Here is a 16,314-nt window from a genome sequence, read left to right as displayed (position 1 = left end):
ACTGCGACACTCACACGGGTGCCATCTCAGCAGCTCACGGTGTGGAAACTGCGACACTCACACGGGTGCCATCTCAGCAGCTCACGGTGTGGAAACTGCGACACTCACGCGGGTGCCATCTCAGCAGCTCACGGTGTGGAAACTGCGACACTCACGCGGGTGCCATCTCAGCAGCTCACGGTGTGGAAACTGCGACACTCACGCGGGTGCCATCTCAGCAGCTCACGGTGTGGAAACTGCGACACTCACGCGGGTGCCATCTCAGCAGCTCACGGTGTGGAAACTGCGACACTCACGCGGGTGCCATCTCAGCAGCTCACGGTGTGGAAACTGCGACACTCACGCGGGTGCCATCTCAGCAGCTCACGGTGTGGAAACTGCGACACTCACGCGGGTGCCATCTCAGCAGCTCACGGTGTGGAAACTGCGACACTCACGCGGGTGCCATCTCAGCAGCTCACGGTGTGGAAACTGCGACACTCACGCGGGTGCCATCTCAGCAGCTCACGGTGTGGAAACTGCGACACTCACGCGGGTGCCATCTCAGCAGCTCACGGTGTGGAAACTGCGACACTCACACGGGTGCCATCTCAGCAGCTCACGGTGTGGAAACTGCGACACTCACGCGGGTGCCATCTCAGCAGCTCACGGTGTGGAAACTGCGACACTCACGCGGGTGCCATCTCAGCAGCTCACGGTGTGGAAACTGCGACACTCACGCGGGTGCCATCTCAGCAGCTCACGGTGTGGAAACTGCGACACTCACGCGGGTGCCATCTCAGCAGCTCACGGTGTGGAAACTGCGACACTCACGCGGGTGCCATCTCGGCAGCTCACGGTGTGGAAACTGCGACACTCACGCGGGTGCCATCTCGGCAGCTCACGGTGTGGAAACTGCGACACTCACGCGGGTGCCATCTCGGCAGCTCACGGTGTGGAAACTGCGACACTCACGCGGGTGCCATCTCGGCAGCTCACGGTGTGGAAACTGCGACACTCACGCGGGTGCCATCTCGGCAGCTCACGGTGTGGAAACTGCGACACTCACGCGGGTGCCATCTCGGCAGCTCACGGTGTGGAAACTGCGACACTCACGCGGGTGCCATCTCGGCAGCTCACGGTGTGGAAACTGCGACACTCACGCGGGTGCCATCTCGGCAGCGCACGGTGTGGAAACTGCGACACTCACGCGGGTGCCATCTCGGCAGCGCACGGTGTGGAAACTGCGACACTCACGCGGGTGCCGTCTCGGCAGCGCACGGTGTGGAAACTGCGACACTCACGCGGGTGCCGTCTCGGCAGCGCACGGTGTGGAAACTGCGACACTCACGCGGGTGCCGTCTCGGCAGCTCACGGTGTGGAAACTGCGACACTCACGCGGGTGCCGTCTCGGCAGCTCACGGTGTGGAAACTGCGACACTCACGCGGGTGCCGTCTCGGCAGCTCACGGTGTGGAAACTGCGACACTCACGCGGGTGCCGTCTCGGCAGCTCACGGTGTGGAAACTGCGACACTCACGCGGGTGCCGTCTCGGCAGCTCACGGTGTGGAAACTGCGACACTCACGCGGGTGCCGTCTCGGCAGCTCACGGTGTGGAAACTGCGACACTCACGCGGGTGCCGTCTCGGCAGCTCACGGTGTGGAAACTGCGACACTCACGCGGGTGCCGTCTCGGCAGCTCACGGTGTGGAAACTGCGACACTCACGCGGGTGCCGTCTCGGCAGCTCACGGTGTGGAAACTGCGACACTCACGCGGGTGCCGTCTCGGCAGCTCACGGTGTGGAAACTGCGACACTCACGCGGGTGCCGTCTCGGCAGCTCACGGTGTGGAAACTGCGACACTCACGCGGGTGCCGTCTCGGCAGCTCACGGTGTGGAAACTGCGACACTCACGCGGGTGCCGTCTCGGCAGCTCACGGTGTGGAAACTGCGACACTCACGCGGGTGCCGTCTCGGCAGCTCACGGTGTGGAAACTGCGACACTCACGCGGGTGCCGTCTCAGCAGCTCACGTCCAGGACCCCAGGCTGCACTGGCCCTCACGCCTCCTTAGTCCCCTGCACCGGTGACCCTTTCCTGGCCTGTCTTCGTTTCACCGCCTTGACAGCTTTGCAGAGTACTGCTCAGGTATTCTGCAAGATGCCCCTCAATTGGTGTGTGTGTGATGTTCTCTCTGATTACATTGGAACTGTGCGTTTGCGGAAGAACACGGCGGAGGTGGAGCGCTCTTCTCATCACGTGCTCTCAGGGGCCACGATGTCAACATGCCTCATCACTGGTGGTCTGGACCTTGATCACACGGCCAAGGTGAGGCCTGCCAGGTCTCCCCACGGGAGAGTGACTGTTTTCCTCTCCATGTCCTGCTGGTTAAGAGTGAGTCATGAAGTCCAGCATGAGCTCCAACTCCTACAGGAAGGAGCATCAAAGAATTTGGGCGCCGCGGTAATTACTGAACATTTAGGGGAGACACTTTGAGACTATACAAATATCTTCTTTCTCCTTAAACTTTGCACAGGAATTTTAGCATTCCTCAGGGGAGCTTGCCTGCAGCACTGATGGTGACTTTCTTTTTTTTCTTTTCTTTTCTTTCTTTCTTTCTTTTTTTTGAGACAGAGTTTTGCTCTTATTGCCCAGGCTGGAGTGCAGTGGCACAATCTCAGCTCACTGCAACCTCCCGGGTTCAAGCGATTCTCCTGCCTCAGCCTCCCAAGTAGCTGAGATTACAGGCATGTGTCACCAGGCCCAGCTAATTTTGTATTTTTTTGTAGAGACAGGGTTTCACAATGTTGGCTAGGCTGGTCTCGAACTCCTGACCTCAGGTGATCCACCTGCCTCAGCCTCCCGAAGTGTTGAGATTACAGGCACGAGCCACTGTGCCCGGCCTGATGGTGATTTTCCCTATTTACTCCACATTTCTTGTTTGGAATTTGTTCCAAGAAAGGCCTGTCCCTTTCAGTTTTTTGTTTTGTTTTGTTTTGTTTTGTTTTTGAGACAGAGTCTTGCTCTGTCACCCCAGCTGGAGTGCATTGGCGTGATCTTGGCTCACTGCAAGCTCCACCTCCCGGGCTCACACCATTCTCCTGCCTCAGCCTCCCGAGTAGCTGGGACTACAGGCGCTCGCCACCTCGCCCGGCTACCCTTTCAGTTTTAATTTATTCAATAATTTATTTATATGCTTACGAATCCATGGACATTCATTTTATTCTTTGGGGCATAATCCGATTTGTGTGTGTGTGTGTGTATGTCTGTGTGAGTGTGTGTGCACTCAAATCATTGTAGCTGTGGCCACTGGGAGCTCTTACATTTTGGGTTCCATGCCCTTTTGAAATGCCCACAGCTTTTTAAAAATTTTATTTTTGAGCATTTTCTTACTTCCTGGGACTACAAGATGCTCCAGGTTCATCTTGTATTTTCTCTCCCACATCCCAATTATCAGCCATTTCTCCAGGGAGACTTGGCTCCTTTTATTGAAGATGAAATTTAGAAACTAACATCTGGGCATGGAATGTGCTTGCTGCTACTGGGGTGTCCCCTCTCAAAGGACAAACCCAGGATCTACAGATGTGTGTGCTAAGCCATGTATGCACACGCACGTGTGTGTGTATATATTTAACCTATCTGTATATATGTATTATGTAAACATGAGTTCCTGCTGGCATATCTGACTATAACTGACCACCTCAGGGTCCATTCTGATCTGTATATATGTATCATGTAAACACGACTTCCTACTGGCATATCTGACTGTAACCGACCACCTCAGGGTCCATTCTGATCTGTATATATGTATCATGTAAACATGATTTCCTACTGGCATATCTGACTATAACTGACCACCTCAGGGTTCATTCCGATCTGTATATAAGTATCATGTAAACACGAGTTCCTGCTGGCATATCTGACTGTAACCGACCACCTCAAGGTCCATTCTGATCTGTATATATGTATCATGTAAACACGAGTTCCTACTGGCATATCTGACTATAACTGACCACCTCAGGGTCCATTCTGATCTGTATGTATGTATCATGTAAACACGAGTTCCTACTGGCATATCTGACTATAACTGACCACCTCAGGGTCCATTCCGATCTGTATATAAGTATCATGTAAACACGAGTTCCTGCTGGCATATCTGACTGTAACCGACCACCTCAGGGTCCATTCTGATCTGTATATATGTATCATGTAAACACGAGTTCCTGCTGGCATATCTGACTATAACTGACCACCTCAGGGTCCATTCTGATCTGTATATATGTATAATATATATTATATATGGACCTCAGGGTCCATTCTGATCTGCATATATGTATAATATATATTATATATGGACCTCAGGGTCCATTCTGATCTGTATATATGTATCATGTAAACATGAGTTCCTGCTGGCATATCTGTCTATAACCGACCACCTTAGGGTCCATTCTGATCTGTATATATGTATAATATATATTATATATGGTCCTCAGGGTCCATTCTGATCTGTATATATGTATCATGTAAACATGAGTTCCTGCTGGCATATCTGTCTATAACCGACCACCTTAGGGTCCATTCTGATCTGTATATATGTATAATATATATTACATATGGACCTCAGGGTCCCCGCTGGCTTTTCCATGACTTCCTTATCCAGCTGTGAGAACCCTGACTCTTACTACTGTATTGACTTATTTGTGAAACCTTAGTATATATAAAAGTAGTTTCAAAGTTGCTAACATGTATTGCTGTGGGAAACAATTTTACCAATTGGAGTTTAGTGCTTAGATATGCAGAGTTATTTGATTCTTTCCAGAATCTAATCAAAACACTGTTTTTGGACTTACCCAGGTCAGCTCCTTTCTGCCCACTCTTTCAGCGCAGGCGTGTCCTGCTGTGGAACACACTCTGGGATTCCTGTGTGGGTCTGTACCCATCCTGTACCCGTCAGGACCCCCAGGCCCCAACTCTTGATGTTGTTCTTGCTCCTCTTGTTGATCTTGTTGTTCCCACAGTGAGGTCCAGTCCTGTGGGGTTTGACAAACACAGCATCACGTACCCAGCTCTGTAGAGCCACACAGAAGACTTTCATCCCTCAAAAATGGCCCCAGTTCGGCCCCTCGGTAGTAAACTCCTCTCCCCTCACTCACCCACTGGCAAACACTGATCTGTTTCTGTCCCGATAATTGTGTCTTTCCATATACACAAAAGTGAAGTCTGAGGGTGAGGCCCATGGCCTTGGGAAGCAGGCATAAGTTGGGGGGGGTGGGCACACAGGGTCACCGCGGAAGAAGATCCATGCTGCCCACACAGCCACATGTGGGACAGGGCAGGACCAGCCCCCCAAGCTGTGAACCTCGCCCGAGGCTATGCCCCACTCTGGAGCAGAATGGCCTCTGCAGAGCTTCCACCATGCACATAGGGAGTGCACAGCCAGGCCAGGAAGGGGAGGGCCCCTGTCTGCAGAGACAGGCCCATCCTGGACAGGAGGGAACAGCATTCCAGGCAGATCCGCCACTGGCTGCTGTTCCCAGAGTGGCTGTGTCCCCTCTGCAGCGTCCATGCCGGCCTCCCCTGCCTCCCTCTGCAGCTGTCGCTCTCCACCCTCCTCTCCTTTCTTCTCTCCATCCCCCCTCCATCCCCGTCTCCTTTCTCCTCTCCATCCCCCTCTCCATCCCCCTCTCCATCTCCCTCTCCTTTCTCCTCTCTAGCCCCCTCTCCTTTCTCCTCTCTATCCCCCTCTCCTTTCTCCCTCTCCATCCCCCTCTCCTTTCTCCTCTCCATCCCCCTCTCCTTTCTCCCTCTCCATCCCCCTCTCCTTTCTTCATGGCTCTTTCCCTTTCCTGCCACAACTGAACTGAGTGCAGGTGATTTTCGCTGCCTGCTGGCTTTATTCAGCTTCAACTTCTTGACTTTAAAGGTGGATGCAGGAAATGTGTGTCTTGTGTCACACATGGAAATGTTGCTGAAATAAGTTACTCTTCACTGATGTGGCCTCGAGGGTTTTCTGCTGGGTTTCTGGACCTTGTAAGCAAAGCAGACCCTCACCCGACTGACCTCCTGGCTGTGACGATGTGTGTTTCTATCCCACACAGGGAGGGTGTTTATGGTCTGAAGTGAGGCCTCTCATTAACTCCTCAAGAGTCGATTGAAGCACAATTTATTAGAGCCCAGAAATCATGGCAATCCATTCCCACAAGCACACAGCACAGCTAAACCAGCTCCAAGGAGGGTCCGAGTGTCCACAACTGCACCCCAGGCCCATTGTGCCTGCCGCTGGAGAGCGTGGGGCCCCTTGGCCCCTAAAGGTTTGCTGAGAAGTCACTGACATGAGACAGATGGATTAATAGGAGAAACGGTATGCAAATTTATGTGATGTGTACATATAAGAACCTTTAGAACGAAGACCCAACGATGGGGGAAATTGTCCATTTTTATGTTTAGGTTTAATAACGTATGAACAGTCCTCTAAAAAAAGGATTGGACACAAAGGGCTTGATCTAATGTGAATAGACTGAGTGGGAACCCAGCAAGGTCTGTCTAGATTTGTCTTCGTCTCTGAGCATTTTCTTCTCTGGACGTGGGGCAGGGCCCTCTCTGGAATGACAGTCTCATGACCTACAGTCAAACAAGGGATGTTGGATCATTTCTCTCTAGTCAGCTCTTATATAGAAAGGTAGACGGAAAACTGAGTAATATTTTTAGGTTTTCTGACCAGCTTTGGGGAGAAGGGGTTCTGATTTCTGTGACCGGCCTTGGGGAAAAAGAGAGTCTGGTTTCTACAGCGCCTTCGGGGAGAATGAGACTGAGAGACAGGAGGGCAGGAGAAGGTCAGAGACAACTTTTGCTTCTGAGGCTGCTGCTGAGGACTTCATTTTGGGGCGTTGTTTTCTGAGCCCCAACAGAAGGAAGGAAGCCTCTCCCTCCAGGGGTCAGTCCTGGGCCTCAAGGGCACCCTCGAAGCAGGCAGCTCAGCTCACAGAGCTCCCCTCGGCCATGTCCTCCACCTGCCCTTCCTTGGTCCAGCACCTCACCTGCACACACCTGTCTGGAGAGTCCCCGAGGTTGGAGAGCTGCTGAGTCAGCTGGGCCGAGCACACAGCGCAATACTTCCTTGTGCCTCCTAACCAGGATGGGCGACACCAGCCCATTTTATGGATGGGACAAGAAGAAGCTGGGCTGACAAGCCCAACATAGTGGAGCCAGCAACAGGCTTTTACTCTCCTCTCTGTCTCTTTGTCTCTCTCCCCCACCGCACCTCCATCCGCTCCATTCTCCTCTCTGCACATCAGCTTCCCAGACAATATTCTTGGTTTCTGTGGCTCCCAAACTGAAGCTTCCCCACAGTGGCTGCAACTATCCAGACCTGGGGCCACACTTGGGCCTCCAGGCAGGGGATCTAGTGATCACATTCTGGTCATGTCATCAGGCCAACTTGGCTGAGCTCTGCCCTCCTTATCTCTCCTCTCCCCTCGAGCCCTCACCCTGGTTACCTGCACAAGTAAACTTGCCCCTAACTGACCCCCTTTTCTCCCTCCATGTCCCTCAATACAACACTAACTCTGGCAAAAAAGACCAGCCTGGCCAGGTGCGGTGGCTCACGCCTGTAATCCCAGCACTTTGGGAGGCCGAGGCGGGCAGATCACAAGGTCAGGACATCAAGACCATCCTGGCTAACACGGTGAAACCCCGTCTCTACTAAAAATACAAAAAATTAGCCAGGCATGGTGGCAGGCACCTGTAGTCCCAGCTACGCGCGAGGCTGAGGCAGGAGAATGGCGTGAACCCGGGAGGCGGTGCTTGCAGTGAGCCGAGATCGCGCCACTGCACTCCAGCGTGGGCGACAGCGAGACTCCGTCTCAAAAAAAAAAAAAAAAAAGACCAGCCTGAAGCAGAGATTGGGTCCCAGCCTGGCTCTGCCTGGCCCTCTGCTCCCGCTTCACCTCACAGACAGAACGCTGCCCTGTGGAGGGGTCCCCGGACCCTTTGGTGGGTGCCAAGCGGGTATGGAGGCCAAGGCCTGAGTGGTGAGAATAGTCCAGGGGCTAGCGCTGCGTGGGGAGGGCGAGCTCAGAGAGCAGGGGAGCCTGACCCTGCAGGTCAAGACTTCTGTCTGAGAGAAATGAAAAGCTGGGGATTTTAAGCAAAGGAATGCCTTGACCCAACCCTCACAACTTACATAATAATTAACTTAAAAGGAATCATAAGTTTAAACAGAAAATCTATATAAGAGGTTTACAGTTTAATTTAAAAACTATAATAGGTTTATAGTTTTTAAATTAAAATTTTAAATATAGTGGTTTATAAAACTTTGAGAAGAAAACATAAAATCCCTATGAATGCTGCAAAAGTCACTGTTGAGAGAATGAAAACACAAGACATACAGTTGGAGAAAATATTTGTGAATCTCATATCTGGCAAAGGAATTGTATCTAGAATACATAAAGAACTCTCAAAATCCAACAGTAAAAACACCAAATAATCCAGTTACAAACCGGGGAAGGACTTGAACAGATGCGTCACCAAGCAAGGGATATGGATGGGAAATAAGCTTCCATCAGCCACCAGGGAGATGCAAATTACAGCCACTAGGAAACGCTTTTCATTCATTCCGGGATGGCTGAAATGTAAGCACGGAAAATGCTGGGTGCCCGCAAGAACGCGGAGCAGCAGGCACTCATTCCCGATTAGCGGGAGCGCAAAGCGAAGGGGCGGCCTGTGGTGTTTTCCTGTAAAGTTGGGCACACGCTTCCCACATGACTCAGCAATTGCACTTCTGGGTATGTACCCGAGAGAAACAAAAGCTTATGTTCACACAAAAACCTACAACGCAAATGCACAAACAGCTCTATCCAACAACCATCCCACCCTGGAAGCAACCCAAACACGCTTCAGCGGCACAGGCGCCTCCACGCGGAACCCCACGCGGCGCTCAGCACGGACGAGGAGGGAGCCGCGCACGCGCGGTCGGCTCGGCGAGGAGCCGGTCTCCAAGTGCCGCCAGCTGCGGGATTTCCTCTGCAAAAGACAAACCACAGGGAGAGCTGCCGGGGCTGGGTCGGGGAGTGTGACTGTGAACGGAGTTCTGGGGGTGATGTAACTGTTCTGTATCCACAGTGTTGCTACATGAATCTATAAATGTGTTAAACTCATAGAACTGTACACCGAAAAATAGCAGTTTTGCTGAATGTTAATTCAGAAATGAAATTAAAATTTTAAATTAACAACAAGCAACTTTACAAGAGAAAAAAAAAAACCTCATTTCCTCCCCACAAAGCCACCTCATGAGCCTGGGTGGTGCCTAGCCAGTCCTGCTGCTGAACCTGCTCTGACCTGGCCTAAGGGTAGGACTCGAGGCTGGGAGCCAAGGGCCAACCACAGGACAGGCAGCAAGACCCGCTTCGCTGGTCTGTCACACACACCGCACCAAGTCTGTGCTCAGGATAAACCGGGGCACACTCTGAGCTGGGCCTGTCTCCGGCTTCAACCAAAAAGCCTGAGCTCTAGCAGGTGAAGGACCAGACGTTTCTGTGGGGCTATGGACTTGTCTGGGAGGCAGCCACCTCTAAGCCACCCAGGATGGTTTCGGTTGTGTTTGGATGGAGTTCTGAGTTTTGCCAGTTAAAATTCCCCCTTCAGGAGCTCTCTATGGGGTTAAAGTGCAAGATTTGGGGTAGAAAAATGACAAGTCAGAGGACTGGAAGGAACATTATGGACTGTCCTCCCTTCTGCCTGAAGAGATGGGGAGACTCTCCCAGGCCATGTGGAAGACCTCACAGGGGGACCAACTGCTGCCTTTCAGCCTGGCCGAGGGAAGAGCCCCTGACTCAGCCTCCGCAGGAGGAGGTGGGCTGGAACCAAGTTTCCCTGCATCAATCCAGGCAGGCAGCCCCGAACAGTGCACTCCAACATGGGATAGTGAGCCAGCTTGGGGGACGGCAGCTGTCTAAACAGGAGCGTGCAACCCCCATGCTGAGAGCTCCCCAGGGTCACGACTACCCAGAGTCAGAGCTGCCCAGGGTCACAGCTACTCGAGGTCAGAGCTGCCCCAGATCAGGGCTGCCCAAGGTCAGAGCTGTCCTGGGTCAGAGCTGCCCACGGTCAGAGCTGTCCTGGGCATCAGAGGCGCAGAGGTGGGAAGGGCTGGCTTCAGGTGGGAGTTATAGGTGGGAGTTATGCTACAAAGGGTCTTGAAGGCCAGTGTTGTTGACAGGGTAGGGTGCCTGGGTAATAGCAGAGGAAGAAAAAGGCTTAGAGTTGGAGGGAAAAACATGAACTGGAGTTGGGGGAGTGCACCTGCCCCCTCAGAGACCACAAAGCCTCCCCAGGGCTGGGCTGTGGCTGCTGGAGCTCCCAGCCCATGCCAAGTGTCAGAGCCCGGGCAAGACCCTCTGGGGTAGCCCGGGACCACCAGAGGTCAGAGCTGGAGGAGGCTCAGCTGGGGCCCTTGCACCAGGCAGGAGGCCCAGAAAAGAGACAGTGCTCTTGAACTGCAGGAAGGCAGCTCCGTAGAGAGGCAAATCTCACTCCAGCTCGGGCAATACTCAACTACACGGACGTGGATGCTCTCAAGGGGGCTTTGGGGCATGTGGTGTCGGCATTGGACCCAAATATGGGCTCAAAGCTTTCCTTTACCATATTCTTTCTACATTTTTCTTGCAGATTGAGAAGGGATAGGGAGGAGTTTAGGGAAGTGAGTGAAGCAGGAAGATGTTGACCAAGGGAAGTTAATTCCATAAAGAGGAGGATGAGGGGACAGAAAGGCAGGAGGAAGAGGAGGAGGAGAATCTTCGCACAGGGGGTGTCAGCTGATGGGGGCAGCATGGGCGCCCATGGAGCCCTTTAGGGGTCGTTGGTTGTGTGCAGAGAGGCCACAGCAGGCGAGGCAGGCAGTGTCTACCAGCCCCAAGGAGACACCAAGAATCCCTGTCCTTAGGAAGTCCCCTCTTCCTCCTCTTGAGTCTCATCTCGGAAAGAGGGAGCTGTCAGTCAGAGCTCAGGCCAAACACTGGGGCTAATAGGTGAGAGCAGGGACCTGTGGGGTCCTCACCGCTGTCCCCTTCTCACCTTTCTGGCTCAGGCCAGGCTCAGCCCCCAGTGGTCTATTGTCTTTCTATCTGTCATCTATCTACCTACCCACCTATGTAACCATGCCATCTATTTCATCTATTTTTATCTATCAACCATCTATCATATATCTACCTACCTACCTCTGCCCTTCTTTCTCTCTACAAATTAGAGGCCACATCCCTGGCCGCTGAAGCCTTGTACCCTGACCCACTGTCTGAACCTGATGGAGTCTAAATGCAGTGAGCGGGTGCCAGCCTTCCCTGGAGCTCTGCAGAGGCAAGGAGGGGGTGGATGGAAAGACGGGAGTCCCTCCCCTTAGGTGAGGGGGGGAACTAGGGCCCGGGGAGATGCCCAGGCCTGGCGGCTGGCGTACGTGGGTTCTCTGTGGCCAGCAGGCGGCGCTGCAGGAGGGGAGATGCCCAGGCCTGGCGGCCGGCGCACGCGGGTTCTCTGTGGCCAGCAGGCGGCGCTGCAGGAGAGGAGATGCCCAGGCCTGGCGGCCGGCACACGTGGGTTCTCTGTGGCCAGCAGGCGGCGCTGCAGGAGGGGAGATGCCCAGGCCTGGCGGCCGGCGCACGTGGGTTCTCTGTGGCCAGCAGGCGGCGCTGCAGGAGAGGAGATGCCCAGGCCTGGCGGCCGGCACACGTGGGTTCTCTGTGGCCAGCAGGCGGCGCTGCAGGAGAGGAGATGCCCAGGCCTGGCGGCCGGCGCACGTGGGTTCTCTGTGGCCAGCAGGCGGCGCTGCAGGAGAGGAGATGCCCAGGCCTGGCGGCCGGCACACGCGGGTTCTCTGTGGCCAGCAGGCGGCGCTGCAGGAGCGCTCAGAAGCAGGGGCCTGGGCCTGCTCCGGGGGAATCCGCCCACCCCACCGCGGCGGCCTCTCCTGAGGTTCCCTAGTGGCCGCGAAGGGTGGGCTCAGGGTGAGGGGTCAGGCCACATCAGTGGGTGCAGGGATGGCTGCGGCCACGGGAGGGCGTCCAGGGAGGAGGCCGGAGCTCAGGCCCACTCTGCACACCCAGCCCGCCACCTCCCCCGGCTCTCTCTTCCTTCGTGCACATTCTGGGGCTTGTGCTTCTGCTGTGGTCCCATTTAGCCAACCTGGCCAGCCTCTCATGCCTGCTTCATGGGTGAGACGTGGAGGCCAGGTCAGCCACAGACCCCGGGGCACACGCCGCAGCCAGCACAGCAGGTGGGCGTCTGCGGCCGGGGCCAGCGCAGGGCCCACTGGGCCTCGGAGGGGCCTCCCTGCCGACTCTGCCCCCGTCCTGTGGCCGTAAGTCCACCCAGAGCGCTCGATCTTCCGTCCACCAGGCCAGGGATGCGCGCAGAGTAAGGATGTGTGTGTCTACGCATGTGGGGGTGTGGGTGTGACGGGGTGTGTTCTGTGTGAGAACATGTGTGTAGTGTCCACATGTCCTCTGTGCGTGAGTCCCTGTGTGTGATGTTGTGTTCTGGGTGTGAGTTCATGGGTGTGACGGGGCGTGCTGTGTGAGAACATGTGTGTAGTGTCCACATGTCCTCTGTGCGTGAGTCCCTGTGTGTGATGTTGTGTTCTCGGTGTGAGTTCATGGGTGTGACGGGGCGTGTGCTGTGTGAGAACATGTGTGTAGTGTCCACATGTCCTCTGTGCGTGAGTCCCTGTGTGTGATGTTGTGTTCTCGGTGTGAGTTCATGGGTGTGACGGGGCGTGTGCTGTGTGAGAACATGTGTGTAGTGTCCACATGCCCTCTGTGCGTGAGTCCCTGTGTGTGATGCCTGTGTTCTCGGTGTGAGTTCATGTATGTGTGTGTGAGTTTATGCTCTTGTGTGTCAGCACATGGGTATGATGTGGGTATGTTCTCTCTGTGGGTGAAAACGTGTGTGATGTGGTTCTTTGTGAATCTCTGTGTGTGACGTGGTGTGTTCTCTGTGTGAGTCTGTGTGTCTGGTGAGTGTGTCTGGGTGTGTCTGGGTATGTGCGTGCTGTGTGTCTGTAGTATGTGTTCCTGTGTCTCTCTAAGCTGGTAGCTTCATCTCTTCCATGTTCTCTGACATTCAGAGGAATTTTCTCACAAATGTGTCCACAACATGGCTGTGTGCCATTTCTCCTGCTTTGGGGAGCACCAGTGTCTGCAGAGAGAAACGTCCCTGCTCCTGCCCCTGCATTCACGGCATGACCCTGTTTGCCCAGCTTCCCCCCATACACAGCCCCGGACACACCCTCCTGGGGGAATGTGGTGGGCTCCGCACTGACCGCAGGATCTGCCTCTCACCAGGGATTCATATCCACACGAAAGGGCCAGAGCAACAGCTGGCACATCCCCTTCCTTCCTCCACCGTTCCCACTTATTCTTCAACCAGCCCTAACCAGGCAGGGAGCCCAGGTCCCACGGAAAATCTCTATGAGAAAGTAAGACAGAGGGCAGACCTCCGCCGTGGTCCCTGGAGAACCAGTCGGCGCTGACACCAGGAGCAGGAACTTACTCTTTCCCAGAGGCAGGCAGGGACGGTCATCCTTGCCCAGAGGCCTCGCCTAGAGTGGGGTCCCAGCCCTGCAAGGGACCCCTAGGAAGGGAAAAGGAGCCACTTGTACATCCTTGCTTCCTACGGAGCCCTCACATGGAGCACATGGCCACTTCGGTCTGGGTCTCTCCGTGCTGCTCACTGTGCTGGTGGGGTGTGCTGCGGAGGTCTCTGGGGAGGTCCCAGGAGCGAGAATGGACCAGGCCCAGGGTAGAGGTGCAAGAGGGTCCTGCCCTTGGCTCCCTCCCCCGGCACAGGCCAGTCAAGGTGGAGAGGAGGCCCCAGCTTGTCCAGCTGGCAGAGGCTAGCCAGGGGGACTGACATGGTGTCACTCTAACCCTCATTTTTCTCAGCCCTTCCATTCCTTATGACTTCTTGCTAGGAGAACCCTGACACCATCCCTGCTGACACTGGAGATATTCCAGAGAGGCCGATCGTCATTGAAAGGGAATGCTCCGTGAACCCTCTGAGCCCTCTTTGACTTCAGAAGCAATAGTATCACAGCTCACAAATTCAGTAGAAAGTCCGAGTTGCATCAGTTTGGAAGTCATGCGGTCAGGCTTCCTGTACCCAGAGGGTGATTCAGCCGCAGAAAGCTCTGGGCTGCACCCCACCCACCCCTGGCCTTCAGGGCCCAGCCACATTGAGGCTGCAGGCGAGCCTGGCCCCCATGCCTGAGAGCCAGATTCCATTCCCTGGCAGCCTCACCTTGGATCGGACAGGGAGGGATCCTAGGACACCAGCCTCGTCTATCCTCCCTGGGACACCCTAGAACCTCACAGCCTGTGGGAAACACCAGGGCATGGAGGGTCAAGCCTACAAAATCCCCCAGTAGGTGATTAGGATAAGGTGAGCACTGGCCCTAGCTGACTCAGGCCAGCCCCCCAAGCAGCCAGACCACGTGAGAAGTGATGGCCACACAATGCTCTGGGTGTCTCAAGGAAAGTCCAAGAGCAGTGGCACTCCGGGCTGCATCCTTGGAGTAAGCACAGAGCAAGACCCCAGCATGCTTTGCAGACCCCGCCTTATGAGCCCTGCACCCCACTGCTCCGGGAGGGGTCAGCACCCCCATGCCAGGGCTGGTTTTCGGGGTGGGTGCCTGGACAATCTGAAGGACCTTTCGGCCACAAGGTGTTGAGAACTCTGCAGAGGATGCTGGGGATTAGCACAACAAGCTCTGCTCCTTCAGGCTGTGCGAGGCCTCATGAAAGCTCCTAAAAATCAGAGGAAGGGCCATGGCAGAGCCTGGGACAAGTGGGCAGCTCACAGAGGGGACTGGGTGCTTGCCATTAGCCCAGACTTCTCCCACTGCTCCTGCCTCAACTGCTACTGCCCGGAGTCTAAGCCCACTTTGTTGACAAGTACCCATTCTATAGAGAGCCTCGCCTAACTCCAGGTAGAGGCAGAAAAGTGTGTGTAGATCAAATGGCCCAGCTGGCAGCAGAGCCAAAAGTCATGCTTACTTGCTGGCCAGCCTTGCACAAGGCACCAAGGGTCACCTCTGCAGGCTTCAGATCCTGCCCTCTGTGAACAGTCAAAAAGAAGGTGTCAGAAGGAGCTAGAGGATGCAAGGGTGGCCAAGGGGCACAGAGGAGGGTCAGGTTACACTGGGAGGGAAGAGAGGCAGCCTTTGCATTCTCTAGGAGAAGCAGGGCGGGAGACTTTGGAGCCCAGCTCCCTGATGGGACATATGGGAACCTGCGGGGACAGGAGAGTGTCTTTGATAGGCGAGCCCAGTGCCTCTTACCTTCAGGAGGGCGCCTGAGCTGTGAAGTCTGCCCCTGTTGCTCAGAGATAGTTCCCTCCAGCAGGAAAACCTCTTTGAGGTGAGTTACGGCTTCTGGAGGCACAAGGATGGGCCGAGGTCACCAGGCCTTGCCTGTCCACCTTACCTACCCTGAAGTGCATGACCTTTCTTAGGGACAGAGCCTCTCTAGTTAATCTTAGAGCCTGGCCAGGAGCCCAGGATGGGGCAGCATGGGGCACAACACTTACTAGATGGTCAGGCGAGGGGAGCAACTGGGACCCTCCCCTCCAGTTCGAGCCATGTGTGTCATGTATGTGCATGTACATGTGTGTATGTAATGTGAAGTCAGATGTGTGTATGTGTGCATATGCAAGGACATGCTAATGTGTGTGTGCATGTACACGTGTGAATCTGTGCAAGCACATACAAGTGTGCATGGGCGTGGACATGTATGTGCATGCATGTGGAAGTAAGTGTACAGGTACAGTCTGAATCTGTGTGTGCACACACAAGTGTGCATGGGTGTGGGCATGTGTGTATGTGCATGCATGTGGAAGTGTGGAAGTGTACAGGTACAGTCTGAATCTGTGTGCACACATAAGTGTGCATGGGTGTGGGCATGTGTGTATGTGCATGCATGTGGACGTGTGTGAGTTGCCCTAGCACATGTTTGTACATATGCTTGTGTGCACCCATGCTAGGCTGCTCTCCCTCCTGGTTCTCTTTCAGGACAGGCCAAGTGAACCAGGGCGAGCTCTTCTCTCCCTCTGACGGCCCCTCCACAGGAGAGGGACCTGGGACCAAGGTTCCTTCAGCCATCAGACCCTAAGTCTCAGGGCACAGGGTCAGAAAGCTTCTAAGGACCCATGAAAATATAGAAACTGGGTGAAATTAACTCTTATTGGCCCGACATATGAAAAGAAAATTGCTTTTGAGCTTCCAGGAGATCTTCTCAGGTTTTGTTTTGGGGATTTCCTGGGAAGGGCATGTTTCCAAACAAGACTCTTGCCGTC

At 54.5% G+C, this 16,314-nt stretch overlaps 1 long non-coding RNA gene across 1 annotated transcript in view, besides 3 other annotated features; it reads right to left on the bottom strand.

The window, feature by feature from the left end:
• Positions 1,151–1,665: an enhancer, noted in NCBI's record as "OCT4-H3K27ac-H3K4me1 hESC enhancer chr17:81163481-81163995 (GRCh37/hg19 assembly coordinates)". NCBI's record gives its function as "activates a minimal SCP1, AML or CMV promoter by ChIP-STARR-seq in primed H9 embryonic stem cells {active_cell/tissue: H9 hESC(primed)}" and the evidence as "EXISTENCE:reporter gene assay evidence [ECO:0000049][PMID:30033119]".
• Positions 1,666–2,180: an enhancer, noted in NCBI's record as "OCT4-H3K27ac-H3K4me1 hESC enhancer chr17:81162966-81163480 (GRCh37/hg19 assembly coordinates)". NCBI's record gives its function as "activates a minimal SCP1, AML or CMV promoter by ChIP-STARR-seq in primed H9 embryonic stem cells {active_cell/tissue: H9 hESC(primed)}" and the evidence as "EXISTENCE:reporter gene assay evidence [ECO:0000049][PMID:30033119]".
• LOC101929650 (uncharacterized) overlaps positions 1,963–16,314 on the bottom strand; it is a 71,977-nt gene continuing 57,625 nt past the window's right edge. The window contains exons 3-4 of the long non-coding RNA XR_243528.4: positions 4,830–5,009; positions 1,963–2,406 (exon numbers count right to left, since the gene is read on the bottom strand). This is a non-coding gene — a long non-coding RNA (uncharacterized LOC101929650). The remainder of the gene's footprint in view (positions 2,407–4,829; positions 5,010–16,314) is intronic.
• Positions 11,769–11,928: a silencer, noted in NCBI's record as "silent region_9233". NCBI's record gives its function as "represses an Ori minimal core promoter by ATAC-STARR-seq in GM12878 lymphoblastoid cells {active_cell/tissue: GM12878}" and the evidence as "EXISTENCE:reporter gene assay evidence [ECO:0000049][PMID:35858748]".

Source organism: Homo sapiens, chromosome 17, assembly GCF_000001405.40.
Source record: "Homo sapiens chromosome 17, GRCh38.p14 Primary Assembly".
In the NCBI taxonomy this organism is placed as follows: Eukaryota; Metazoa; Chordata; class Mammalia; order Primates; family Hominidae; genus Homo; species Homo sapiens.
The sequence above is the reverse complement of the archived record's forward strand: the minus strand, read 5'-3'. Positions and strand labels throughout refer to the sequence as shown.